The sequence below is a fragment of the Homo sapiens genome, chromosome 16 (genome assembly GCF_000001405.40).
Source record: "Homo sapiens chromosome 16, GRCh38.p14 Primary Assembly".
NCBI classification, from domain to species: Eukaryota; Metazoa; Chordata; class Mammalia; order Primates; family Hominidae; genus Homo; species Homo sapiens.
The window spans coordinates 12,428,643-12,456,225 of record NC_000016.10 but is presented as its reverse complement, the minus strand read 5'-3'; the positions used below and the strand labels follow the sequence as shown (position 1 = coordinate 12,456,225).

The 27,583-nt window shown below is 48.6% G+C and overlaps 1 protein-coding gene across 19 annotated transcripts in view, besides 3 other annotated features; it reads right to left on the bottom strand.

Moving 5' to 3' along the window:
* The window catches only part of SNX29 (sorting nexin 29), a 597,554-nt gene that overhangs the window by 118,062 nt on the left and 451,909 nt on the right, over nucleotides 1-27,583 (bottom strand). The window lies entirely within an intron of this gene.
* Nucleotides 16,969-17,470: an enhancer, noted in NCBI's record as "H3K27ac hESC enhancer chr16:12532613-12533114 (GRCh37/hg19 assembly coordinates)". NCBI's record gives its function as "activates a minimal SCP1, AML or CMV promoter by ChIP-STARR-seq in naive H9 embryonic stem cells {active_cell/tissue: H9 hESC(naive)}" and the evidence as "EXISTENCE:reporter gene assay evidence [ECO:0000049][PMID:30033119]".
* Nucleotides 19,284-19,970: an enhancer, noted in NCBI's record as "H3K4me1 hESC enhancer chr16:12530113-12530799 (GRCh37/hg19 assembly coordinates)". NCBI's record gives its function as "activates a minimal SCP1, AML or CMV promoter by ChIP-STARR-seq in naive H9 embryonic stem cells {active_cell/tissue: H9 hESC(naive)}" and the evidence as "EXISTENCE:reporter gene assay evidence [ECO:0000049][PMID:30033119]".
* Nucleotides 19,971-20,658: an enhancer, noted in NCBI's record as "H3K4me1 hESC enhancer chr16:12529425-12530112 (GRCh37/hg19 assembly coordinates)". NCBI's record gives its function as "activates a minimal SCP1, AML or CMV promoter by ChIP-STARR-seq in naive H9 embryonic stem cells {active_cell/tissue: H9 hESC(naive)}" and the evidence as "EXISTENCE:reporter gene assay evidence [ECO:0000049][PMID:30033119]".

Here is a 27,583-nt window from a genome sequence, read left to right as displayed (position 1 = left end):
GCTCTGCACATTTTAAGATTTTATTCTTTTAATTGACAAATACTAATTATACATATTCTTGGGAGTACATGACCAGAGTCTTATTCACTATGCCCTAGTACCCAGACCAGTGCCTGGAAATAATGGATATTCAATACTATGAATGAATGAATGAACAAACAAATGAACAGATGAATAAATGAACATCACCTGAACATTTACTTGCAATTGTACCTTTACAAGTCTTCATCTTTACTATGCAATGAATTCCTTGAGGGCAAGAACCAAGATGGAAACCCCTAGGAGCCCTCAGTTCCTGGAGATGCCCAACGGGTGCTAGATGGGTGGGTAGGTAGATGGATGGATAAATGGAAGGAAGAGAAGGAAACAAGAAGGCAAGCAGGAAAGAAGGAAGGAGGGAGGGCTTACCCTCCATACCGGGCCACCTACATCTCATCTATCCTTGCTTATAAGCATCTGGCAGTGAGCAAAGGATGGACGCTTCTGACAGTCAAGACCAAGGTCTGCATATGCAAGTCTCTGTGTGTGGCACTGTGACACCTCCTCCAGCCTTCTGCACAAATAAAGACTTTGCAAAGCCTACTGGATGAAGTTACCGACACTCATAGCAGCGAAAACTGGGAAGTCAGAAAAGTCTCACCTAAGACAGAGGAAGAAACAGGTAGGTCCCGGGATCCACAACTCAGGGAGGGAAGAGACAAGGAACACTGGCTAATGTGGGGAGAAAGAGGACTTCCTTGGCCAGGGCTCTGGGAGCCAGAGTGGCAGCAGGTGGCCACCGCCACCTAGAGGTCAGTTACAGCCACGGCGGGTGCTGGCCAAGCCGGTATGCAGGGCTTGCCTGGTGTGTGGCTGACCAGGAATGCTGGAGGTTCTCAAAAAAAAAGTCCTTGATGGGGTAGACCCAGGGTCTGGAAGTCCCAGCCAAAAGGGCCACGAGGTGTGGGGGCTTTAGAAACCCCAGGCGTAGACCAAGCTCTAACTTGCCACCCAAATCAGACTCGGTGGGGTTCTACCAAGGAGAAGGGCGTCTTGGAGCTGGCTAACAGACTCAGGTCGTCTAGAAGGAGGAGGAAACCTTTGTCAGGAGGGACAAAACCAGCTATCTTGCCTCCTACTCCTTTTCCACACCACAGCCAGAGCAATGGTTCCCAAGTGTAAATTAAAGTCCTCCAACGGGCCAGGCGTGATGGCTCATGCCTGTAATCTCAGCACTTTGGGAGGCCGAGGCGGGTGGATCACTTGAGGTCAGGAGTTCGAGACCACTTTGGCCAAAATGGTGAAACCCCATCTCTGCTAAAAACACGAAATAATTAGCCAGGCATGGTGGTGCATGCCTATAGTCCCAGTTACTCGGGAGGCTGAGGCAGAAGTGCCTGAACCTGGGAGGCTGAGGCAGAAGTGCCTGAACCTGGGAGGCAGAGGTTGCAGTGAGCCGAGATCACGCCACTGCACTCCAGCCTGGGTGACAGGGTGAGACTCCATCTCAAAAAATAAAAATAAAAAATAAAAATAAATAAATAAATTCATTCCTCCAATGATGCGCCACTGCACTCAAGCTCAAGTCTAAATTCCCAGACGTGGCTTGCAGGGCCCTGCCTGATCTGTTCTTCCTCACCTCTCTCTTCGGGTTATTTTCGATGTTCGCTCTTCAACTGAGCAGCAAGCCACATTCGCCAGCAGCACCTGTGGCCCATGGAAACTCATAACTAGCTGTTGACTATAAGTCCCTAAACGCCATGTGCTATGTCACCTCTAGAGTTCTGGGCAGCAGTTCTCTCAGCCTCTACTCAAAGAGCTCTTTGCATCAGGTAGGAATCGCATTTGGTTCCAAAATAGCTGGGGTCTAATCACTTGGGGCTTCTTTTCTGATGGACAAGCAGTCTGCAGGGAGGCAGTCCAGAATTGGGATGGCTGCTCTCCTTAGTCATCAGGGACTGAGGCCGTCCATCTTTCTGCTCTGCGATCTTAGCTGCAGAGTTGCCATCCCCCAGGTTACCACATGGCCCAAGGCGGCTGCTGGAGTTCCACCTATCATATCTCAATTCTAGGCAACAAGAAGCAGAAAGGCAAGGCATGTACCACGCAGATGAGGTATAAGCAGCCTTTCTGGGAAGCCACAACCAATACATCTACCTATATCTTACTGGCCAGATCTTAGTTACATGGCCATATGTAGCTGCAAGGGAAGCTGAGAAATTTACTATTTTCTATGTGGGCATAATGCCCAGGGCTCTGTTACTAAGAGATAAGGAAAAAAACAACAACAAAAAAAACCCATGGCTATTTTCAGCAAGCAACTAGCAGTGTCTGCCACACTCCTATACATCCAATTACCACATCTTGATGGAAGGCCAGGGGACAAAAAAAATTCCAAAGATACCTTCCCTGCCATCTAAATGCCTACAGTCTTATTGAGGACTCAAACAAATACAGCTGAAAAGATAAATGACAATATCAAGCAGAATTAAATGAACCACAAGTCCCACTGCAGTCTTTGAAGGGTAACTTTTATGCAAAAAGCAAGAAAAGGAACAATTACTGAGGGCCAGCGAGGTGGCTCATGCCTCTAATCCCAGCAATTTGGGAGGCTGAGGCACAAGGACTGCTTGAGACCAGGAGTTCAAGACCAGCCTGGGCAACACAGTGAGACCCCATTTCTTAAAAAAAAAAAAAATTACTGAGCCCTTACTCCAGCTGGACTCCATGACAGCCACTTTGTTTGTTTTTACTTCTCTTCGTTTTCACAACAACCCTGCAAAGTAGGCATTAGGCATCTGCATTTTGTTTAAGAGGAAATAAATTGGGGTTATATGATGTGCCCAGGGTCACACCGCCAGTAAGGATTTCCAGCAAGGATGGCAAACCTGCCAAGTCTAGAGCTACCTGCCTACTCTAGTGTACAGTGGTGGTTGCCTGGGGAAGATGGTGGTCATGTGGGGGATGATTCTGAGAATGCATCTGAGTTCGATGAGAAAGTCTGTGATTGATTGGCCACGTCTGCCATGGACAGGTGAATAGGGCCAGGTGGCATGAGAGCCATATATGTAACATTCCTGTTTCAGAGGCTTACAGCAGTTGGTTCGTCTGTGGAAATGCCACACTGGCACTCTGCTGTCTATACGCCTGGGAGAATGAAGGGTGGGAGGGGAGGCACATGCTGCCACCAAGTGAGACAGCCCCAGGTCTTACTGCTGGGGATCCTTTTTGCATCTAGGGCCCCGTGCCTTGAGAAAGTGGGTGCCTAGCAACTAGCCAAGACGAAGTCCACCTCCAAGCTCTAAATTATTCCTCTTACTAACAAACGGCCTCAGAAATAACAAAAGAAATGACAGCTGCAGTCAGAACAAGGAGCAATTTTATTTTAAAACCCAACTTGAACAGGATAGATAGACCTGTGATCTCATGTCGGAGCAGAGGTGACAGTTCCTGTCCCACAGCACCATGCCTGCCGACACCTTCACCACCCGGCTCCTCTCCTCACACCCATGGGCCCATGTGACCTCACATTTGGAGGGGTCTGGCAGTCACAGATGCAAGCTACCTCTTCCCGACACCAGTCCCCAGGGCTGGTGACCCTCCCTCACATCCACTGAAGAAGGAGAGAAAATGATTGGAGCAACTTCCAGACTCAGCTCAGATGCCCTCCCCATCCACAAAGCCATCCTTCACCCCCTCACCCCATCCTGCCTCCAGGCTGTATGAGGCAACTCTCCTCTGAACTCCTCTGGTCTCTACGGAGCGGTGTACTCAGCGGTGGGCATCTGCCTCTGATCTCTGACTTTCTGCATTTAGCACAGTCCCTGGCACAGAGCACTTACCATTTGACGGCTACCCGCTATTGAGAACACAGTCTTGTATGGGAGCTGTCCTGTGCATTGTGAGACATTCCACTGCATCCCTAGCCTGCACCCATGAGATGCCAGTAGCAGCCACCCCAGTTGTGACAATAAAAAATGCTTTCAGGCATTGCCAAATGTCCCCGTAGGGACAAAACAAAACCACCCCTGGCCAAGAATCACTGAAGGGCATTATCTCAGAGTTGCCCAGGGCCACTCAGCTAGAACTTGCACTGAGCTCCCTACAGCTGTTCTACCTCATTTAAGCCTCATGATAATCCCTCAGGGTGGGTCCAGCACCCTATCCCACAGATGACAGGTCTGAGCTTCAGTGGGGCTCAATAACTGTCCAAAGCTAAACAGCTGAGCATGGGCCCTTTCTAGAGCTGAATCCAGAAGAACCATATGGCTCAAGCTGCTTATCCAGGCCAAAGACATCACTCCCTTATTTTAAGAAAGAGAGAACTGGAGGTATCCGGTAAGGCCAGTTTGGTTAGAAACCATCTGTTTGTTTATTTATTTTTAGATGAAGTCTTGCTCTGTCACCCAGGCTAGAATGCAGTGGCGCGATCTGGGCTCACTGCAACTTCTGCCTTCCAGGTTCAAGCGATTCTGCTGCCTCAGCCTCCCTAGTAGCTGGGACTACAGGTGTGCATCACCATGCCCGGCTAATTTTTTGTATTTTTAGTAGAGATGGGGATTTCACCCCATTAGCCAGGATGGTCTTGATCTCCTGACCTCATGGTCCACCCGCCTCAGCCTCCCAAAGTGCTGGGATTACAGGCGTGAGCCACCGCACCCGGCCCCATCCGTTTCTTGAATGCAACCAGTGCATGGCAGCCTTTCCTATTTCTGTTAATGCTAAAAGGCTGCTGCATGGAATCTCTTTGGTTGGTAAATAGAACAGAGCAGGTCACAGGTCATCCCACACATTGGGCAGCCACCGGATCATTAAATGGTTGGGGACAAGAGGAGGCTCCTACTCGGCAATCAGCCTCTAATACTCCCAGCTCCATGGATTGCTTTCTCTCCCCTACCAAGAATACTGCCATCCAAGGAGACGAAACATAAACTTGGTGGAGCTGGTGGGGAAGAAGCTAATTTTCTATTACAGAGCATCTCCATTTCGCACAGAGCCCTGAAATTGTGTTTATGAACCTAATGTGTACTTTAGAGGAATGTGGTTGGCAGTAATGAGCTCATAACTCTCAGGAGTTTGGAGGCCAGCGAGTAGCAGATTGTTGAATCAATAAAAATAGCAGTAAGTACCTCTGCGGCTCTTCTGTTCAAGGACAAAAGTGGCTACTTTGGGGGCAGGAGACGTACTTTCTCCCTTGCTTGTAGAAGGTGCATATTCTGTGCAGAGCCATGGTCAGAAGCCTTGTTATTCCCTAGTACTGGGTCCCTGACTCAACTGCTTGGTGGAGCTCATCTCGGTTTGCTTACTGGGCAAGCAGGGGGATGCTGTATCAAGTCCAGGCACTTCTACCTCCTCATGTGTTCTGGGTTTTCTCCACTCCTGCCCTTGGTCCTTCATCAGCTGTACTTGCCAGGACCTCCAAATGGTCCCTGATCGACCCTAGGTTCCCCAGTGCCACCACAATGATTGGCCTAAAGCTCCAATCATACCATGTCACTCCTCCACTTAAATTCTCTGGGTCAATGCCCAAGCTCTTCAGCAAGCAGACAAAGCCCATCTGACTAGCTCATCCTTTGGGCCACCTGGTTCATATTGCACCCTCTTTGGTAACCGTGGCCTGACCACTCTCCGGGAAGCCTCCGTCTTCCCTTCTCTCACACCGTGTGTGCTGGACAGAGCCTATGATTCGGGCCTCAGCCAATCAGAGCACCTCATTCCCTTGGCCACAGCAAGCGGTTCAGGAATGGGCACATCATTGCCTATGATTGGGTGCAGCTTTTCCAATTAATGGGATAGAGAGCTGTACCCTTTTCTCACTGACTTGAAGTCAAGTTGATCCCATTTGCAGCTTCCACAGTTGACTCCTGCCCATGAGAAGAAAGGCTGTTTGAGAATGTGCCCAAACAAAAGCTAGAACAGCCCCACCACTCAAGAGCCCTCTCTTCCCTGCACCCTGCCCCTCTCAACACACAACTGAGTGTCTCCATATATCATGGGAATTGTATTAGTCTGTTCTCACTGCTAATAAGGACATACTGAGACTGGGTAATTTATAAAGAAAAACAGGTTTAATGGACTCACAGTTCTACATGGCTGGGGAGGCCTCAGAATCATGGCAGAAGACAAAGGAAGAGCAAAGCCACCTCTTACATGGTGGCAGGCAAGAGAGAACAAGAATAAGCAAAAGGGGTTTTCCCTTATAAAACCATCAGCTCTCCTGAGAATTACTCACCATCATAACAACAGTATGGGGGAACCGCCCCCCATGATTCAGTTGTCTCCCACCGGGTCCCTCCCACAACACGTGGGGAATTATGGAAGCTACAACTCAAGATGAGATATGGGTGGGGACACAGCCAAATCATATCAGAAATCATGTAAAAACATTGTCAAATGTACAGCTGTTGTCTGCCCCTGTCACCACCATCTGTGACCAAAGACAGGGATTTCAGCAATGGGATTTAGGAAAGTTCACTGGAGTTGCAAGGAAGAGAAGGGATAGTGGTCAGCAGGAAACCCACAGGCTCTGAAGTGAGACAGGCCTGGATGCAACCTGCGTAACCTCAGACAAATAGCTTCTGAAGTGATTGTGACTTCTAAATGCAGAAAACAGAGCAGGGAGATGCACAGCTGGAGCACGGGAGGTGCTGCATTTGAGCCCCTGATCAACCCGTGCCTGCAGCCAGGTTACCCCAAGACTACTGACTTACAGAGAGTAACAAATTCCCTTTTTCTGTAAGCCAGTTTGGTTTGGGTTTTCTGTCACTTGTGAGTTAAGATGCCAAATACAAACATCATTACCTGCTTTGCACTGCATAATCCACCTAAACCAGCTCACTCCAAGCTCACACATATGCCATGATCCCTGTCCTTGCCGTGCCTATTCTCAAGCCTGTTCCCTCTGCTTGTCCCCACCGTGCCTTCTTTGCCTGGCTAAGTTCTACTTATCTTGGAGGGCTTGCCTCCAGCATCTTCACCCTGCAACATCCTTCCCTGGTCTCTTCTCCTCTCCTCAATTCTACCCAACTTCTGTGTTCCTCCAATGCCCTAGACCAAGGTCTATCACTATTCCTCCTCCCTATCCCCTGCTGCTGTGCCTGCCTTCCCTAACCACCCCAACTAGACTGAGCACCACCTGAGGGTAAGGAGCTATGTCTCATCTCTCTATCCCCAGTTTTGGGCACCATATCCAGCAGAAATTAGGTTGCGTAGTACATGTACGTTGAAACTAAACTGAGTCTTCTTCCTCAATGCAAACCTGCCCTGCAGCCAGCAACTCTTCCCCTAGCTTGGAGAGATAATCACTGGGAGTCAACCTGGTACCTATGGGTAGAGCCTAGTGAATGCGAAAACCAAAGCAAATCACTACCGTCCAAAAGGCAAAGAAAGATGCTTAGTTAGAAGAAAATGGGTAGAGCTGGATGCAAGGCAGTTTGATGCACCTGATCAGGACAGCTTGTTGTCTTGGAGAAAGACTGACAGACATGACTATGAGCCAGACACTTCAGGGAAAGTCTCAGTTCTGTCTCTGAGCACTGGGCAGCCACTCCCATAATTAGCAGGGTGGAATGCGATAAAGTCAGGCTTTTCCAGCCAACAATGAGGGCAAGAGGATTTTCTGGAAAAAAAAGAAGTCATCTGCTCTTTTCTCATCAACTTCTCAGAACCTTTAGTATGCCACCAGATGTTGGGCTGTACATAAGCAGGAGGTGTCACCATGAAAAATAACTGCAGTCAAACAGGATCACTGACTTGGTGGCCTAAAAAAAAAAAAAGAGTTCCCAATTGCCTTGAACAATTTAATAATCTGCACTTTATGAAAAACATGTTCACCAGCAATTGAAGATATGGCAATGTATCATGGGAATCAGGTAAAAACGCTGTCCAATACTCAGCTGGTGTCTGTCACCATCACCACCATCCTTGACCAAAGACAGGGATCTGAGGAAGGGGATTCAGGGAAGTTCACTGGGGTTGCAAGGAGGACATGGAAAGGTGGTCAGCTGGAAACTCACAGGCTTTGAAGTGAGACAGACCCGGACGCAAGCCTTGGTTTTGTCACTTACAAGCTATGTGTCCTTGGTCACCTTGCTTAACCCCTCTGAACTTCAATGCTCATCCATAAATGGGGAGATAATAACGTCATTTTTGCTGTTGCCCTGGTGGGGCCACTGCGAGACACAGGCCTCATACATCCACAATCAGCACAATCCCGGGAACGCCACCATCATCATCATTCCCAAGCCCCAATCCTAGGCCTTCCCGGTGCTAGATGTGAATGATCTCAGCTACCATCAGCTGATTTGGGGGAGGTTTTTATCCCATTGGATAAAAGCCCTTCCCTAGTGTCTTCCTGACAACCGTGCCAGCAATGGAGACACTCAGATGTGTGTTGAGAGGGGCAGGGTACAGGGAAGAGAGGGCTCTCTGAGTGGTGGGGCTGTTCCCGCTTTTGTGGGACACATGAAGCACTCTCGCCAAGTGACAAACACAATCTCAGGAGAGAGCTTTGAAAAATAACACACGAGCTGGCAATCTTATCTGTTAACCTGCATCTCAATTCCAGCCAGGGAATTTTCAAAAGGCTCCAATTAGTCCCCTCAGCCAACTGGTTTCCACCATTCGGGTCTCACAGCAAGGGAATATTGATTTTGCTGTAAGACCTAGGAGAACAGGCTGCTGGTTTACACTGTCTTCTTCCCATTTATGAAATCTCGGCTCTGTCCGGGTGGTTTCTCTGGACTTTTGTTATTACAGATTAAAAATGAGGTTTAGAAAGGTGAAAATTGATCCAGAAAGTACTGATTGAGAATCTTTGGGGGTATCCAGGATTAGGCTGGACACCAGGATAGTTTTTAGTTTTGATTTTTAGAATTCCGCTAACAACAAAAATCCATCATGTATACTTTTGTCCATCTGCAGAAAAAGGTAAGACAGAAAGGTGCCCAAAGCTCATGCTAAGCCGATGGGACTTCTTCAATTGCCTGGATGCTTTCAGAATCAAAGTTTGTATTTAAGAAATGGTGCTGGTCTGTAGCATTTATTTTACTTTTTTTTTTTTTTTTTTTTTTTTTTTTTTTTGAGACAGAGTCTCCCTCTGTCGCCAGGCTGGAGTGCAGTGGCACCATCTCGGCTCACTGCAACCTCCACCTCCCAACTTCAAGTGATTCTGCTGCCTCAGCCTCCCAAGTAGCTGGGACTACAGATGCGTGCCACCACACCCTGCTAATTTTTTTTATATTATAGTAGAGACGGGGTCTCACCATGTTGGTCAGGCTGGTCTTGAACCCCTGACCTCAAATGATCCGCCCACCTTGACCTCCCAAAGTTCTGGGATTACCATGTGAGTCACCACACCTGGCTCCTATTTTACATATGTCAATCCTGCCCTTAGAAAATAAAGAACATGAGGCAGCTCGTTGGGATCCAGTTAATAAAACAGGTGAATAACGGCCATTTCATATTGAGAGCTTAGTACATACTGGAGCCGATTCTAAGTGTTTCCTATAGGTTAAATCATTTAATCCTCATCCATGTTAAGTGTTGAGTATACCTAACAAGGCACAGAGGAAAGTCAACAGGAGCTCCACTGCCATGAAACTCTGCAAGGAATCCCCTCCACAGGGCCAACTCTTTCCAACTAAAACATCGATACTGGCTCCTATTCTGAGCAATGTTCTTGATAAGCTCCTCTGACTCCTCTCTATTCATTGAGCACACAGTGGGTCCCTCTTGGAGTGCTAGATCAATCCTGAATTACCCACTCAATTAGAGGCAGTTACTACATTAAATATCCCACCAGATGATAAAGAACAATTAATGACTCTGCTGAGCTTTTAAGATTCTAGGCAGAGACTCTGAAAGGAGTTTCCTTGTCTCAAAAACAAATGGGGCCAGGCACAGTGGCTCACGCCTGTAATCCCAGCACTTTGGGAGGCCAAGGCGGGTGGATCACTTGAGGTCAGGAGTTCGAGACCAGCCTGGCCAACATGGTGAAACCCCGTCTCTACTAAAAATACAAAAATTAGCCGGGCATGGTGGTGCACGACTCTAGTCCCAGCTACTCAGGAGGCAGAAGCTGAACAACTGCTTGAGCCCAAGAGGTGGAGGCTGCAGTGAGCCGAGATTGCACCGCTGCACTCCAGGCTGGGCAACACAGCAAGGCTCTGTCTCAAAAAAAAAAAAAAAAAAAAAAAAAAGAATGAGAAGCTACTGTTTCAACTGCACGTCCAGGAGCTGCATGGAAGCAGGTGTGCAGCGCGAAAGCGTGGACTCGGGAGCTCCACCTCTTGGGTTTGAATGCACTCCCTTTTCACACACATTTACTAGCTTAGTGTCCTTGGGGAAGTGGCTTAGCCTCTCAGGTGTTCGATTTCCTCATCTGTAGAATGGGGGCAGCAGCAGGAGTTTCTTCCTAGCGTTGTCCCGAGGCTTGAATTGGTTAATATCTGTAAAGCACTCAATCCAGGGCCTGGCATACAGTAGACGCCATGCTGAGTGTCAGCCATTTTTACTGGTGACACCTACTTGTGAGGTTGGAGAGGAAGCTGATGGGCTGCAGAAAGAGAAGTTCTGAACCCACTGTACACTGAGGCTATTTTTTTGTAAGTGAAAAAGCTTAGCTTAGGTGGACCTGGGAAGAACTCCATCTTGATTTACTATTTCATGTTTATTTCATTCTTTCATTCATTCAGCCAGCCAGTCATCTATCACTTCATAGGTATTGAGCACCTACTATGTGCCTGTGTTGTGAGCAAGGTGGGCACCTAGGATGAGAGAGCCCTACCCTCAGGGAGCCCCAGCCTCCTGGGGAGATGCACACAGGAGAGTTGCTCAGTGTACAGAATGAACAGCGTAGAATGGAGGACGGCTCAGCATACAGGAGCCCTGAAGCGGGGGCATCTCGATAAGGCCTCAGCAAACGTCTTCTGCAGCCAGCCAGATGATAAATGTTTTAGGCTTTGTGGATAATACGGGCTCTGTCCTAAAGACTCACCTTTGTCTTTGTTGTATAAAAGCAGCCACAGACATTAAATTAATGAATGGACATGGCTGCACTACAATAAAACTTTATTCAAAAACAAAAAAAAACTGTCAGCCAGGCACAGTGGCTCACTTCTATAATCCCAGCACTTTGAGAGGCCGAGGTGGGTAGATCACTTCAGGTCAGGAGTTCAAGATCAGCCTGGCCAACATGGTGAAACCCCATCTCTACTAAAAATACCAAAATTAGCTGGGCGTGGTGGCAGATGTCTATAGTCCAGCTACTTGGGAGGCTGACGCAGGAGAACCCCTTGAACTCAGGAGGCAGGGGTTGCAGTGAGCTGAGGTCGTGCCACTGCACTCCAGCCTGGATGACTGAGACTCTGTCAGAGTGAGACTCTGTCTCAAAAAAAAAAAAAAACAAAAAAAAACACTGTCGAGGGGACAATGTGGCCCACAAGCCACAGTTTGCTCACCCCTGATCTAGAGGAAGGGGTTCTGGAGATGTGATGAATATGACCTGTAAATGGGGTGGGGCCTACAAGGAAGAGACAGAGGGAAGGACCTGTAGCCTGGGGAGTGAGGCTTGGAGGCCATGGAGAAAAACGCTCTCCCTTGTTCAAAAAGTCCAGGAAAATGACTCAGGTACCTGTGCCAGAAACAGGCCACAAATGCTTACTCTGGTATGGAACAAGAATTCCCCCTACACCCACCTAATCCAGCTCAGGCAAAGAAGAAAAGTCAACATCTACTATGTACCAGGATCTGGGGCCAGTACTTGAGTATCTGTGTCTATTCCTATGCTGCAGATGAGGCTGCAGGCTCAGGGAACCACCATGGGCTGGAAGCAGCCACCTGCATCTCCCTCAGCATCCAGTGCAATAAGGGATGCAGTGGGAAGAAACAGCAGCACAGCAGCAAATAGCTTTGACTGAGTGCTTACTACATGCTAGGTGCTATACTGAGTGCTTACTACATGCTAGGTGCTATACTGAGTGCTTACTACGTGCTCGGTGCTATATTGAGTGCTTACCACATGCTAGGGGCTATACTGAGTGCTTACTATGTCCTAGGTGCTATATTGAGTGCTTATTACATGCTAGGTGCTATACTGAGTGCTTACTACGTGCTAGGTGCTATACTGAGTGCTTACTACGTGCTAGGTGCTATACTGAGTGCTTAGTATGTGCTAGGTCTTATACTGAGTGCTTACTACGTGCTAGGTGCTATACTGAGTGCTTACTACGTGCTAGGTGCTATACTGAGTGTTTACTACATGCTAGGTGCTATACTGAGTGCTTATTACGTGCTAGATGCTATACTGAGTGCTTATTACATGCTAGGTGCTATGCAAGTTTCGAATGCTCACATTCCCCAGTGAAGAAGGTACTCACTCATCCCATACCCTTTTTGCAAGTGAAGAAACTGAGGCTCAGACAGACTAACTTACTAGACCAAAGTCACACATGACAGCCATCCGGCAGAGTTTGGACTGGCTTTAAAAGTCGTGCTTGGCCGGGTGCGGTGGCTCATGCCTGGAATTCCAGCACTTTGGGAGGCCAAGGCAGGTAGATTATCTGAGGTCGGGAGTTTGAGACCAGCCTGGTCAACATAGTGAAAACCTGTCTCTAATGAAAACACAAAAGTTAGCCAGTCATGGCGGTCCATGTCTGTAGTTCCAGCTAATTGGGAGGCTGAGGCAGGAGAATCGCTTGAAGGGGAGGCAGAGATTGTAGTGAACCAAGATAGCACCACTGCACTCCTGCCTGGGCGACAGAGCAAGACCCTATCTCAAAAAAAAAGCCATGCTCCTCTTAGAAAGATTTAGAGCTGATGTTTTGGGGTGCAGTGAGGATTGTGTGTTTTTCCAGAAGAAAAGGTAAAACATGTGGCTGGCATCCATTGTAGTTTGATTTATCAGAGTATCTGCGCAAAGACTCTCTCTGCTGCCTTGGCCAGGGGTTGGTAGAGTAGTCAGGGAGGAACAGCGTGGGCCCCTCTAGTAGCACACAGGTGACCCTGCTCTGATGTCTCAGTGCCGCAATGCCATGTCCCCAGCAGGATCTACTGAGCAGCTTCCATAGGAAGGAGCATGACAGAGAAAGCCCACGCAGGCCCTAGGCCCGGCAGGATTTAGGCAGATGCTCCATCTTCCTCTGACACACTGTTCCCTCCAGACGCACTCCTCTCAAACCAGGCTGGACGCCTGGCCTGCTGGCTGTTTTCATACGGCCCACAGACTAAGAATGATTTTCACATTTTTAAATAGCTGGAAAAAAATCAAAAGAAAAGTAGTATTCTTTAGCATGGGCAAAGTATATGAAATTCAAAGTTCAGTGTCAAACCAGAAAAAAAAGTTTTTTTTGAACACAGCCAGGTATGGTGGCTGACACCTAAAATCCCAGGACTTGTGAGGCTGAGATGGGAGGACGGCTTGAGCCCAGGAGTTGGAGACCAGCCTGGGCAACATAGTGAGACCTTGTCTCTGCAAATAATAAAGAAAAAATTAGCCAGGTGTGGTGTCAAGTGCCTATAGTCCCAGCTACTCGAGAGGTTGAGGTGGGAGGATCACTTGAGTCCAGGTGGTAGCAGCTACACTGAGCCATGATTGTGCCACTGCGCTCCAGCCTGGGTCTGGGTGACAGCCTGAGACCCTATATCAAAAAAAAAAAAACAAAAAAACACACAGTCACATCCATTCATTACATATAGCCTATGGCTGCCTTGACTCTGTAAGAACAGAGTTGCATCTGAGATGGAGGCTGCACGGCCTACAAAGACATAAAATATTTACTATCTGGCCCTTTACAACAAACACTTGTAATCTCTTGCCCTAAAGATTGCACAAAAGATAAAAGGAGAGAAGGGAAGAAGAGAGAAAAGAAGAAACAGGGTTAGGAGAGTGAATAGACACTTCCTGATTCCAAGACGTCCTAATAAGCCAGAGTAATCAAGACTGAGTGACACTGTCAGAAGGACAGGCATAGAGATGCAAGGGACAGAGTCAAGAGTCCAGAAACAAACCCATTCATCTATAGTCAACTTGTTTTTGACAAGAGTGCCAAGATCATTCAGTGAGGAAAGAACAGTTTTTTTTTTAAACAAACTGTGCTGGGACAACTGGGTATCCACAATAAAATGAAGCTGGATCCTTACCTCATACCATATATAAAAATTAAGTCAAAGCCAGGCGTGGTGGCTCACACCTGTAATCCCAGCACTTTGGGAGGCTGAGGTGGCCAGATCACCTGAGGTCAGGAGTTCAAGACCAGCCTGGCCAACAAGGTGAAGCCCCATCTCTACAAAAATTAGCCAGGCATAATGGCAGGTGTCTTTAATTCCAGCTACTTGGGAGGCTGAGACAGGAGAATAGCCTGAATCCAGGAGGCGGAGGTTGCAGGGATCTGAGATCACGCCACTGCACGCCAGCCTGGGTGACAGAGTGAGAATCTAACTCAAAACAAAACAAAACAAAAGTCAAAATGGATCAAATAACTAAATTTAAGAGTTGAAACTATAAAACTCTCAGAAGAAAACACAGGGCTAAATCTGTGTGTCCTCAAGTAGGCAAAGGATTCTTAGACATGATATCAGAAGCACAAGCAACAAAAGAAAAAACAGATAAATTGGACTTTACCGACATTAAAAACTTTTGTGCTTCAAAGGACACTATCAAAATGGAAGGACAACCACAAAACGGGAGAACTGAAGACAAACGTTCACACAGAGACTAGTATAGGAATGTTCATAGCTACATAATTCGTAACAGCCATAAATGGGGAACAACCCAAATGGCCATCAGGAGATGAATGGATAAGAAAAATGTGATCTACCCAAACAATGAAATATTATTCAGCCATTAAAAGGAATGAAGTAGGCCAGGCGTGGTGGCTCACACATGTAATCCCAGCACTTTGGGAGGCCGAGGTGGGTGGATCACAAGGTCAGGAGATTGGTACCATCCTGACTAACACAGTGAAACCCCGTCTCTACCAAAAATAAAAAAAAATCAGCCGGGTGCAGTGGCAGGCGCCTGTAGTCCCAACTACTCGGGAGGCTGAGTCAGGAGAATGGCGGGAACCCAGGAGGCGGAGCTTGCAGTGAGCCGAGATAGCGCCACTGCACTCTAGCCTGGGCGACAGAAACTCCATCACAAAAAAAAAAAAAAAAAAAAGGAATGAAGTAGCGATGCATGCTACAACACAGATGAAACTTGAGGATATTACGCTAAGTGAAAGAAGCCAAGCATAGAAGGCCACGTATTGTATGATTTCTACGATTCTAAGTCACAAAAGGCAGATCTAGAGAAAAATCTGCAGAGAAAAATATAAATCATTCTATTATAAAGACACATGCTTAGCACATATTCACTGCAGTACTATTCACAATAGCAAAGACGTGGAATCCACCTCAATGCCCATCGATGATACGCTGGTTAAAGAAAACGTGGTACATATACACCATGGAATACTATGCAGCCAAAAACAGAACGAGATCATGTCCTTTGCAGGGACATGGATGGGGGTAGAGGCCATTATCCTTATCAAACTAACACAGAAACAGAAAATCAAGTATTGCATGTTCTCACTTAGAAGTGGGAGCTAAAGGATGAGAACACGTGACACAGAGGGAAACACCACACACTGGGGCCTTCTGGTGGGTGGAGGGTGGGAGGAGGGAGAGGATCAGGAAAAATAACTAATGAGGACTCGGCTTAATACCTGAGTGAAGAAATAATGTGTACAGCTAACCCCCATGGCACAAGTTCACCTACGTAACAAACCTGCACTTGTACTCCTGAACTTCAAATAAAACTTAAAAAAGAAAAGAAAGTCGATTACTGGCTTCCAAGGGCTAGGAGGGGAAGGGTTGTGGGGGTGATGGAGACTGCCTGCTAACAGCCACAGAGTTTCTCCAGGGTGATGAAAACCTTCTGGAATTAGAGTGGTGATGGTTGCGTAATCTTGTGAATATCCTAAAAAGTGACTGAATCGTACACTTTGAAAAGGTGAGTTTTATGGTTTGTGAATATCTCTTTTCTTTTGTTTTTAAGGACAGGAGAAAGAGAGAAGGCTGAAGCTCAAGGCAAGGGGAGGGAGGATGTGACAGGTGCTGACTCCTGCTCTGGGCCGTGTTCCAATTTATGCCCTTTGCGAGCACAGCTTCTTTCAGTCTCGAGTCAATCCGGTGGGGTGGGTGACATTCCCATTTTATACATGAGACTCTAAGAGGCGAGGCTGGCCCAAGGCCACGCAATTCCAGGAGGCAGAGTTGGGCTGCATCCCCACGTCCCCTGCACCCACACACCAGCTGGACGGTTTGGCCAGCCAGCTGAACCCCACCAGATACTCAGGGAGAGCCAGGAAAATACCACTTGGCATCTGGGGAGCACCCACCCTGCACCAAGCATGTTAGTGCTCTTCCCCCACTGCAGGGGTGAAGGTGTACTACTGCCCTAGCAGAAAAGTGGGAAACTGAGTCTCAGAGAGGCAAAGTAAGTGTACCAAGGTCACATGGCTAGTATGTGACTGGTATGGTTTAGCTGTGTCCCCACCCCAATCTCATCTTGAATTGTAGCTGCCATAACTCCTTCATGTTGTGGGAGGGACCCAGTGGGAAATAACTGAATCATGGGGGTAATTTCCCCTATACTGTTCTCGTGGTAGTGAATGAGTCTCACGAGATCTGATGCTTTTATGAGGGGAAACCCCTTTCGCTTGGCTCTCATTCTCTTGTCTGCCACCATGTGAGATGGGACTTTCACCTTCCGCCATGATTGTGAGGCCTCCCCAGTCATGGGAACTGTGAGTCCATTCAACCTCTTTTGTAAATTGCCCGGTCTCTGGTATGTCTTTATCACAAGTGTAAAAACAAACTAATATAGTGGCTAACTCAGAAGCCAAGCCCTGACTCCACACCGGAAAATCAGGACCCACTACTCCCCGCTGGCCTCTCTGGTGACTTCCAGTGGCTCTTAGGTGTCACTATCTTGTCACCAGGTCATGGTAGACATGCAGCTGCTGGCCCACTAGCCGTCTCTCAGCTCTCTTCCCTGCCTACAGAGGCTGCTTCCCATTGCAAGGCTGGCAAATGACACTTTCTCAGGTGCCCCTGCAACCAGGACAAGAGCAGGTGGAGGGCCTCTGGGAAAGACTGGCTTCACTGATGAGGGAGGCTGGGGAAGGGAAGCCTTCCTTCTCACGTGCTCTGAGCCCTGCCTTGGAAGCCCGGGCTGCCATGTGCAACCACGATGGAAGACAATGGTCTACATGGCAGGTGGACAATCCTGTCCGGTGCCTTCCTCTCTACCCTCACCTTACATCATTCTCCCCCTTCCCTGCTGTGTTTCCCTCTCTGCAGCCAGGTAGATCTTCCAGTTCTTCCAACAGGCCCGGCTCCTGTCCATCCCAGGCCCTCAGCCCAGAACCTTCCCTGAGTCTAGAACGTTCCTTCCACCCCTACACCTGGTTAGCTCCAACTCAGTCATCAGATCTCAGTTCAAATGTGACCTCTTCTGATTTTAATGTGCTCAAAAGTCCCTGGGCTTTCTGACTGTTCATTCATGATTATGGTCATTTCTTCAACAACAAGCTCTTACCTCTGAGCTGAAGTTCTGAAAGTCTGTGAGTCTGGCTATCCTTGCCACCACAGACCAGGCAGCCTCACTGCCTCTACCTGGCACCCAGCAAGGCGCAGCCTCAATGCTGGTCTGTGTTAAAAGAATGTCCAAATCTAGGCTGCTACCTTTTCCTGCTTGGACAGAGGTTGAGATCAAATGATCACTGAAAAGACAGGGTCTGCCAGAGTAAAGGGGTCCTGGGCTGGAGTGAGCGGGTAAATGAAGAAGGGGAGAGGTAAACTGGGTGGTAAGGGGGAAAGGAGAAGGACACCAGCAGAAAGAAAATAAAGGGAGAGGGGAGAGCGCTGAACCCAGCTGAGCTCTCAAATTAGGTCAAAGTTTCCCAAGGAGGGCTGATGCCTTGGCTAGAAACCAGGTGGGGCTGGGACGCCTGCAGTGAACTGCCTGCCTGGCCTCATGGGACTGGTGGCTGCCTTCAAGTCACCTGATGCATCAAGTAGGTCAGAATAAAGATAGTCCAGAGATGCCCCCCTACTCCTGCCCCCTCACCTCCCCACTCCTGCCCAAGCTAGGCCAAGAGGTGAATCTCTGAGGCTGCTTGGAAAGGTCAACAGGAAACTCTCAGTAAGCCAGCAGCCCCTGGCCAAGAGTGGACGTGTGCTCCCAAGTCCAAGTCCAAGGTTCTGCATCTGTGCCACATGGGGTGAGGAGCCCACACCAGGCAGAGCTGGGCCTGGCAGTGCAGATGGACCGCTGGGGCCCTGGGCTGTGGGCAGCTGCAGCAAGCCCAGCATGAAGATGCCAGGCAGTGGCCCTGGGCTGGGGGGAAGGGCACCCCCCAGAGTGGTTTGGAAGGCCAGCCCTGCTTCACTGATGGTGCAGCCGAAAAAGACATTAAGTGCCAGCAGCCAGCGTGCATTTTTGAGATTTCACCTGAAGCAACAAGGGGAAGATGGTGGAGATAAATCTGGGTGCCGGTGTGCTCCTGACCCCTCCCAGGGACTCTGGGTCCTGGGGCTATGAAGGAGGAGAGGGCAGCTATGGGTGGGGAAGGAGCCAGGGTCAAGAGGGGAAAGGACTCAGAACAGCTAACCAGCAATTCGGGGAGACAGAGATGTTGTCTACCTGCCAGCCCCATTCTGCCCCTTGATGTACTTCATATGTATGTCCTGAGACTCAGTTCAGATGTCACCTGTCCTCCGCAAAGGCCACCATCTCCCATGCCTGGCACAGGCAACCCTCCTCTCACACTACCCCCTGACCCATTGCCTCACAGCCATCTGAACCTGACTCTCCCCGCTATGAGACAGGGAATGCGGTGGGCAGGGCCTCAGGCCCATCCACTCCATCCTGAGCTGAGAGCACAGTGTGTGACACCTTGCCAGGACTCAGGTGAAAGAGAGAAAGAGAAAAGAAACAGACCAAGAAAGGAAGAAAAGCAAAGTGAGAGAGAAAGCATGAAAAATAGGAGGAAAAGCAAAGAGAAAGAAACATACCACATTCATTTGGGCTACCCTGAAAAATTACAGGATTTCAGTAACAGTTTTAAACCCCCATGATTCTTTATGCACACGCTGTTGCTTTCTCTGTCTCTCATTCTAAGCTGGAACACAAACTGTCTTTCAGAATCTCAGGTTTGCTACTTTCCTTTCATGTATTCAGAGATGTCAGGCCTGGACTGGGACACTGGAAATACCCTAGCGATACCTCAAGTTCAAAGACAAGGAAAGAGGCCGGGCGTGGTGGCTCATGCCTGTAATCCCAGCACTTTGGGAGGCCGAGGCAGGCAGACCACTTGAGGCCAGTAGTTCGAAACCAGCCTAGCCACTATGGCAAAACCCCATCTCTACTAAAATACAAAAATTAGCCGGGCATGGTGGCAGGCACCTGTAATCCCAGCTACTAGGGAGGCTGAGGCAGTACAATTGCTTGAACCCGGGAGGCGGAGGTTGCAGTGAGCCACTGTACTCCAGCCTGGGCCACAGGGCAACACTGTGTCTCAAAAGGACACAGCCAAAGTCCCCCGGTCAGAAAGTGCCTAAAGATGATGGCCCTCATGGCAGGCCAGGGGCTAGGACCCTGAAGAGTCCTTCCAGGCACCAGGGGAGCTCAGAGAGGCCCCTCAGCCCTCCTGAATCCCAAGCCAGGCTGCGCCTGAGCAGTCAGGGGTATGAATGCCTGAGCAACAAAGGCGATTTCCTGAAATGGCATCTGGCAGGGAGGAAAGCAGCCAGGTGCTCGCGCGCCACTCCACCAGGCAGCAGCACACCTTACACACGGAAATGTCACGCATCGCACTGACGCCAAGCTGTCGCTGTCTCCTGGTACTAAAAACGGTGCTGTGTTCCTGTCTTCGTTCCTTCCCCTCTCTCCGAATAGAAACGTCTGTGAGCTCCTTAAGCTGCGGCCTCCTGTGGAGAGCCAGCGCCTGATGCCTGGGCCCAGGGAGGAGGCGTGGCCCTCACCTGTGCCAATACTGTTCCGGGGGCTGCAGCAGAGCATAGCAGGGGTCTCGGGCATCGCCAGGAAAAGAGCTTTAATCCCCTTTGGAAAATCAACCTTCAGCTACGTCTGCATCACCAACATAAAACTCACGGTGTGTGCGGCGCCCCAATTGAGTGCCATTGACACCCGCCCCCACAACATTTGATCCTAGCAGCTGCCCCAGGAGCAAGGCAGACCCAAAATCCAACCCCAAGGCCCAGACCCTGGGCCTACGGGAAGTAACGCGCGGCACGTGTGTGGCGTCGCTGTTCCCACAGATAGCGTGCTGCTCCCTAGCTCTGCTTCCTGCCATCCCCTCTCTCAGGATGCCCTGCCCAGCTGGGACTACACCTGCCATTTCAACCTGCCCAAGGCCCAGAAGCCAGGGGAACCAACAAAGTGCATCCTCACCATGGAGTGGCTGGCTCTGCTGCAAGGAGACCCAGGATCATGGGTAACAACATTCCAGCTGGGGCCTTCTAGGAGCAAAGCAAAAGAACCCCACAAGGCTGAGGACCCAGACTGGGCTACTGGATGCAGCTGCTGAGAACTATGCTCATCAAGGAGGAAATACATATCTAAACTGGTGTTTTCTAAACTGCGTCCTCTGGTGTTTTCTAGACTGTGTCCTGAAACAGCTATGTCCCAAGAGATGTCTAGAAGGATTCATAAAAATGGAAGTAGCCAAAGCCATGCCCAGGACCCCTCAAGCAGGGCAGGTTCTCAGAGCCTCGTACCCGCCTGCCTGTGGCCTGAGTCTTAGGTGCCCTAAGGAGGAGCTGCTCCCTTCAACTAAACTACCTGACCGTCTCCTCGCTGGTCATCAGTTTAATAAATGGGATCTTTTTCTGATCTAGAGAACACTTCAGAATTTTAAGAAACAGTTGTAAGGCAGAAGTGTGTCCCTGCAAAATGCCTTTATTCTCAATACTGGCTAAGACCAGATGGGTCCTATCAGCTGATGCTTGTGCTGATTTCTTGGGATGGGAGGAATAGAGGGAAACGGGAGGAGACAGAGGAAGAAAGACGGAGAGGCAGAGGGCAGCAGGGTGCACACATTCTCTGCAACTGAAGAACAGCTGCAAATGGCAAAGTGATGTGATCCCTCCAACCCTCTCCTGGGCCTGGGGATGGACAGACTGGCCCAAGGTCAAGCTCCTGGTATATGACCTGGTCACAGATCACAGCCTCTTCCCCATGAAGAGATGACCAAACCCCCCCCACCGCCCCCCATAACAGGACTGACACCAAAGACACCAAGTGCCAGTTCCCTTTTCTCTGGGACCCCAGAAGGCTGAATTTATACTTTGTAACAGACGTCTGTAACGTCTGTTACAAAGTGGCAGCATGGAGGGACTTCCCATGCTAGATGTCAGGCCTGGCATCCCCCCGTTCTAGCCTTTCCTTACAGGTTAACATCAGTGTGCTCATGGGACTGGAGCAAAGGCCTGTCTGACCTGTACTGTCCTGGATGAGGTCAGCAGGGCCTTCGGTGTCAGATGCAGGAAGTTAAGAAAGCCCCCAGCCGTTGTGCAGGGGTGTTGGCGGGTCCCTAGCACTTGGAGGAACTGTCTTTGGGTGGGTTATGGGAAGGCCCTGCTTTGGGGGTTGCAGGGTACACAAGGCTGTTTCAGGACACAGTTTAGAAAACAGTGGTTTAGATACATATTACCCCCGACTAGCACTTCCAGGCATATCACTCTGGCTCTGAGACAGGACACACAAAAAATGGATGAACATCGGCTCCCTCGCCCTGCTCCCCCTTCTGCTGCCTCCCACCCCACCAAACACCCTGCTTTGCAGTTTTCAGGGTACAGGCCTGTCCCCAGGGCCCAGGTTTCTGATCTTAGAGCTCACAGATCAGCTACTTCCTATTTCAGGCAAACAGAGAAACAAAAACAGCCACTGAGAGCTTACTACTTTGTACACACTCTGGTCAATAATGAGTATTATCTTACCGATTTGTTCCTGTTATAATATTATCCCCATTTCACAGAGAAGGAAACTGAGGCCCAGAAAGGTCAATTAAGTTGCCTGAGGCCAGGCAGAAGCATGTTTCAATCCATAGTCCAAACTCTCCACCCCAGCATGTCAAATGGCATGAAATAAACACCACCCAGTAAACTTGCCCATCAACCTTGATCTAGGTCTGGGCAAGAGAACAAGCATGGGAGGTTTTAAGAAGGATGCCCCATGTGAGGACCTCAAAACAGGGGGCAGGGGACAGATACTCTGGCCAGCAAGTTAAGCAGAGGAGACTGACCCTTAAGCACTGGCATAAGCATCAGGAATGAAAACAGCTATGAACTGGAATGGGTCCAGAGAAAGCTGAATAGGGCCTTTGATCATTAGTTTTCTGGGTTTTTGTTTTGTTTTGAGACATGGTCTCACTCTGTCGCCTGGGCTGGAGTGCAGTGGCACAATCTCAGCTCACTGCAACCTCCGCCCCCCAGGTTCAAGCGATACTTGTGTCTCAGCCTCCGAAGTACCTGGGATTACAGGCACGCACCACCATGCCCACCACGCCCACCACGCCCAGCTAAGTTTCCTTTTTTTTTTTTTTTTTTTTGAGACGCAGTCTTGCTCTGTTGCCCAGGCTGGAGTGCAGTGGCATGATCTCGGCTCACTGCAACCTCCACCTCCCGGGTTCAAGCGATTCTTCTGCCTCAGCCTCTTTAGTAGCTGGGACTACAGGCATATGCCACCACGCCAGGCTAATTGTTCTATTTTTAGTAGAGACGGGGTTTCACCATACTGGCCAGGCTGGTCTCAAACTCCTGACCTCAGGTGGTCCACCCACCTCAGCCTCCCAAAGTGCTGGGCTGACAAGTGTGAGCCACTGCGCCCGGCCAATCGTTACAGTTTTATGATCCTGTGAGCCGAGTTTCTAAATGGGGTGTTCCAATCAGTGGACGTTAAGGCAGAGGAAGAAGGCTCGTTACATCGACATTATCTCCCCTCAAGACATTTCTTTTCTCTGTTTTCAAGGTGACAAAAGCTGCCCAGAACTGTGGCTAACCAAGATGTAGACAAATGTAATGACTCGTGGTGGGAGTGGACCTCCACAGGGTCTGAAAGGAACGGGACACACACAACTTTTCAGAAGCATGTGATTGGTTTTGTTTCCCTGGGGCTCCTTCCACTCAGGAACCCGCTCCACATTCTGCATATTCCTAGTGGCTCTGCCACAGAACCCACCTCTACCCACACCCTCACCCCCATGCCATGGCCCAGGCCCGGCATCACACTACCCCATGCACCAGGTCCGGTCCACCAAAGCCCTTCCCTAAAACCAATGCACAGTCAACACATGGGGAGAAAGTCTTCTGCCCCTGGCAGTTGCATAGTGGGGAGCCCTGCTCCCCGGCTGCAAGACCCAGCCTCTCACCCCTACACTTCATTCTGTGAGCTGCCATTGAATTCTAGCAGAATGAGCGCCTCTCCTCTCGTCAACTTTTTTTCCCTCCCACATAAACTAGCCAAGCTCCTGTCACTGTCAAGTGAAGGCATGGACCTAGACAGCCCTGTACTCGGACATCACAGTTAAGGCAGGGTCTGCCCCTGGGCCTACAGGAGGTGACGCGCGGCACGTGTGTGGCGTTGCTGCTCTTATACATAGCGTGCTGTTCCCTGGCTCTGCTTCCTGCCATCCCCCTTCTTAGGATGCCCTGCCCAGCCTTCTCTGCCTGATCCTCCTGCCACCAGCCCAGGCCACCTTTTCTCCAGAAGATGTGTCTTCCTGAGCACTCCCCATACCAGCCTGGGCTAAGTGCCCAAACCCTGGACTTCTACAGTCCTGGTGTGTGCCCCTTACTCATCATGAATATTTACAGTGACAGCCTGGACCCCAAAAATGCATCTGTTTCCTCCACCACACCACAAGGTTTCTGGAGAACCAGGGTCAAGTCTTAGAATACAAGATATACAAACAGCCATGACTAACGGTAATTGGCGAATGCGTAAATGCGGAGGACCGATCTGTTCAGTCTGGGCTGCCAAAAAGCCCAAGGACTATTCCTGCCCCAATCAATGAAGAAAAATGAAGAAAGGCCTTCCCAATGACCCAAGATAAAGCAGCCTCCACCCCTGTGTCCTCGTCCCCTCCACCATCACCAGGTCTTATTTCCTTCCCAGCACTCATTGCTGAATAAAAGTAAAGTGCTATTTGCTGAACTGTTTATTAAGCCTGCACTCCTTGGGAGCAGCCATCTTATCTCTCTGGCCTCCTGAGTATATCCCCAGGGCACAGAAGAGGCCTGCACAGAAGGTTCCCCGTAAGTCTTTGTTCGTGGGTTCACTGGTTGCCTGGTTAGCTGAAAGAAAGAATGAATGAAAGAACAAATGAATGAAGGAACAAGACTTCAGAAAGCAGCTTGTGAGCTAAAGCTATGTCGTGAGCATTACCCGACCTCACAGCACCGGCTGTGGGTTTAGGTAACAGCTCAGAAGATGCTGTGACCAAGAGCAACACCCCTCAATTCTTGACACTCTGAAGCAGAAGTTTTCTTCATGATCATTTCCTGACTTCATTCAACTCAGAGAGAAAACTCACACTTTACGTAACACAGATGGACCCATTTTCTGACACTTTTTGCAAAAGGTCAACTTTTTTTTTTAAGGGAATGAGTTTATTTCACTTTTTGATGTGTTCTATCAGAGCTGACTTTTTTCATTAGACCACAGAGCAGGAGAGCATCATTCGTACACTGTGGATCAATAACTTCAATGCAAAAAAAACAAAAAAACAAAAACAAAAAAAAAAAAAGAAGAAGAAGAAGAAGAAAAGCTCAAGCCCCTAAATGAAAAAGCAAAAGACATCACAATATAATAAATCTAATACTCTCCTCCTCACAGACCCCTGGGGCTGTTAATTGGAGGGATGTTCTCAGGATCTGCACTGTTTCGACCTTCACAGCAGGGGGCCATTTCTCCTACCTGCCCGCTCTTCCCCTCTTCCCCCTTTGCCCAGACATCTCGTCTTGGGGCCTGGGAGAGCTCACAGGGCCCCCACCCCACTCACTCCCAACTCCACATTTAAGACTGCTTCAGGCCAGGCGCAGTGGCTCACGCCTGTAATCCCAGCACTTTGGGAGGCCGAGGTGGGTGGATCACCTGAGATCAGGAGTTCGAGACCAGCCTGACCAACACGGTGAAACTCCGTCTCTACTAAAAATACAAAAATAGCCGGGTGTGGTGGCAGGTGCCTCTAATCCCTGCTACTCGGGAGGCTGAGGCAGGAGAATCATTTGAACCCAGGAGGCAGAGGTTGCAGTGAGCAGAGATTGTGCCACTGCACTCCAGCCTGGGCACGACAGAGTGAGATTCCATCTCAAAAAAAAAAAAAAAAGACTGCGTCAAGAATCACCCCCTCCTGGAAGCTTTTATGACTGTCACCACTTACAAGTGGACTAAGGTGTCTCTCTTTATTCTCCCACCGCAGCTTCTCTACAGCCCGCTTCCAGCATGGATAAGAACAATGAGGACAACAAAAGTAATAGTAACAGTCATAACAATAAAGCCTGTCATGTATTCAGAATGAGCTATATTACTGGGACTATATAAGTGCTTTACAAGTAATAACACTTTATTAATTTCATTTGATCCTAATAACTACTTTATAAGCTTTGATGCACTATGCTCATTTTACAAATGAATAAACTGAGGTTAGGAATGTTAACTTGCCCAAGGCTATAGATCTCTGAGGGCAGAGCTGGGATGCAAACTCAGGAATGACCAATTCCAAAGCAGGTGTGCCTGATCCCAAGGTCACTGCCCCTCAGGTCTGTTCTTGGAGAAGAAAACACAGCAACTGATGTAAGTGTCCCCCACAAGGCCGGGAACCTCACAGTCATTATCCTTCACTTCACAACCACCCTCCAAGTTGGGTGGCATTGCCCCCACTGTGCAGACAAAGAAAATAAAGCAGCAGTTCCCAACCATTTTGGCACCAGGGACCAATTTCGTGGAAGACAATTTTTCCATGGACTGGGGCTGGGGGGGGAACTGATGGTTTGGGGATGAACTGAGGGTTCCCCTCAGATCTTTGGGCATTAGATTCTCATAAGGAGCATGAAACCTAGATCCCTTGTATGCACAGTTCACAATGGGGTTTGTGCCCCTATGAGAATCTGATGCCACTGCTGATCTGACAGGAGGCGGAGCTCAGGCAGTAATGCTTGCTGGCCCACGGCTCACCTCCTGCTGTGTGGCCCGGTTCCTAACAGGCAACAGCCCAATACCAGTTTAGGACCCTTGAATAAAGCACAGCAGTTCAGTAAGCTGCCTGTGGTCAGAGAGCAAGAAAACAATAGTCAAGATTGCAATCTGTATCCATCTACTACAAAAGTCCATGCCCTTTCTAAGACAGCACACTGCTACCGGCTCCTCTAACCACAAACCTATTCAGGAAAAGAATGTAACATACAAAACAAGCCTGAAGAGCAACATGGTTCCCTACAACTGTTTGACAAGGAGAAATTAGAAAAAAACTTAAATGTTGAGCAAAAGGAACAATCAGAGAAATGATATGACAGCGTGATGGTGGAACACTGTGCACCGCAAGAGATGGTTTTGGTGTAAAGTGTAGAGTAACATGAGAAAAATCTCACGTTAAATTAAAAAGCAGATGCAGGGCCAAGTACAGTGGCTCACATCTGTAATCCCAGGGCTTTGGGCAGCTTAAGCCCAAGCATTTGAGGCTTCAGTGAGCTATGATCTTGTCATTGCACTCCAGTCTGGGTGACAGAATGAGACACTGTCTCTTAGAGGAAAAAGAAAAGCAGAACACAGACGTTTACATGTGACACGATTCCAACTAAAGAAAAAAATGCACAGAAGAAAAGCTAGAAGGAGATATCAACTGCAATCGTATCTATGTGTTGGGATTAACTACAAGGAGATATTAATTTCAGTTGTGTCTGTGTGGTGGGACTAACTAGAAGGAGATATTAATTGTAATCATATCTGTGTGTTGTTACTAACTAGAAGGAGATATTACTTGCAATCATATCTGTGTGGTGGGACTAACTAGGAAGAGATATTAATTGCAATCGTATCTATGTGTTGGGACTAACTAGAAAGAGCTATTAATCGCAATCGTATCTGTGTGTTGTAATTAACTAGGAGATATTAGTTGCAATCGTATCTGTGTGTTGGGATTAACTAGGAGATATTAATTGCAATCGTATCTATGTGTTGGGACTAACTAGAAAGAACTATTAATCGCAATCGTATCTGTGTGTTGTAATTAACTAGGAGATATTAGTTGCAATCGTATCTGTGTGTTGGGATTAACTAGGAGATATTAATTGCAATCGTATCTGTGTGGTGAGACTAACTAGAAGGAAATATTAATTGCACTCATATATTATGTGTTGGAATTAACTAGAAGGAGATAATAATAATTGCCATCGTATCTATGTATTGGGCTAACTAGGAGGAGATATTAATTGCAATAGTATCTATGTGGTGTGATTAACTAGAAAGAGATATTAATTGCAATCGTATCTGTGTGGTGGGACTAACTAGAAGGAGATATTAATTGCAATCAAATATCTA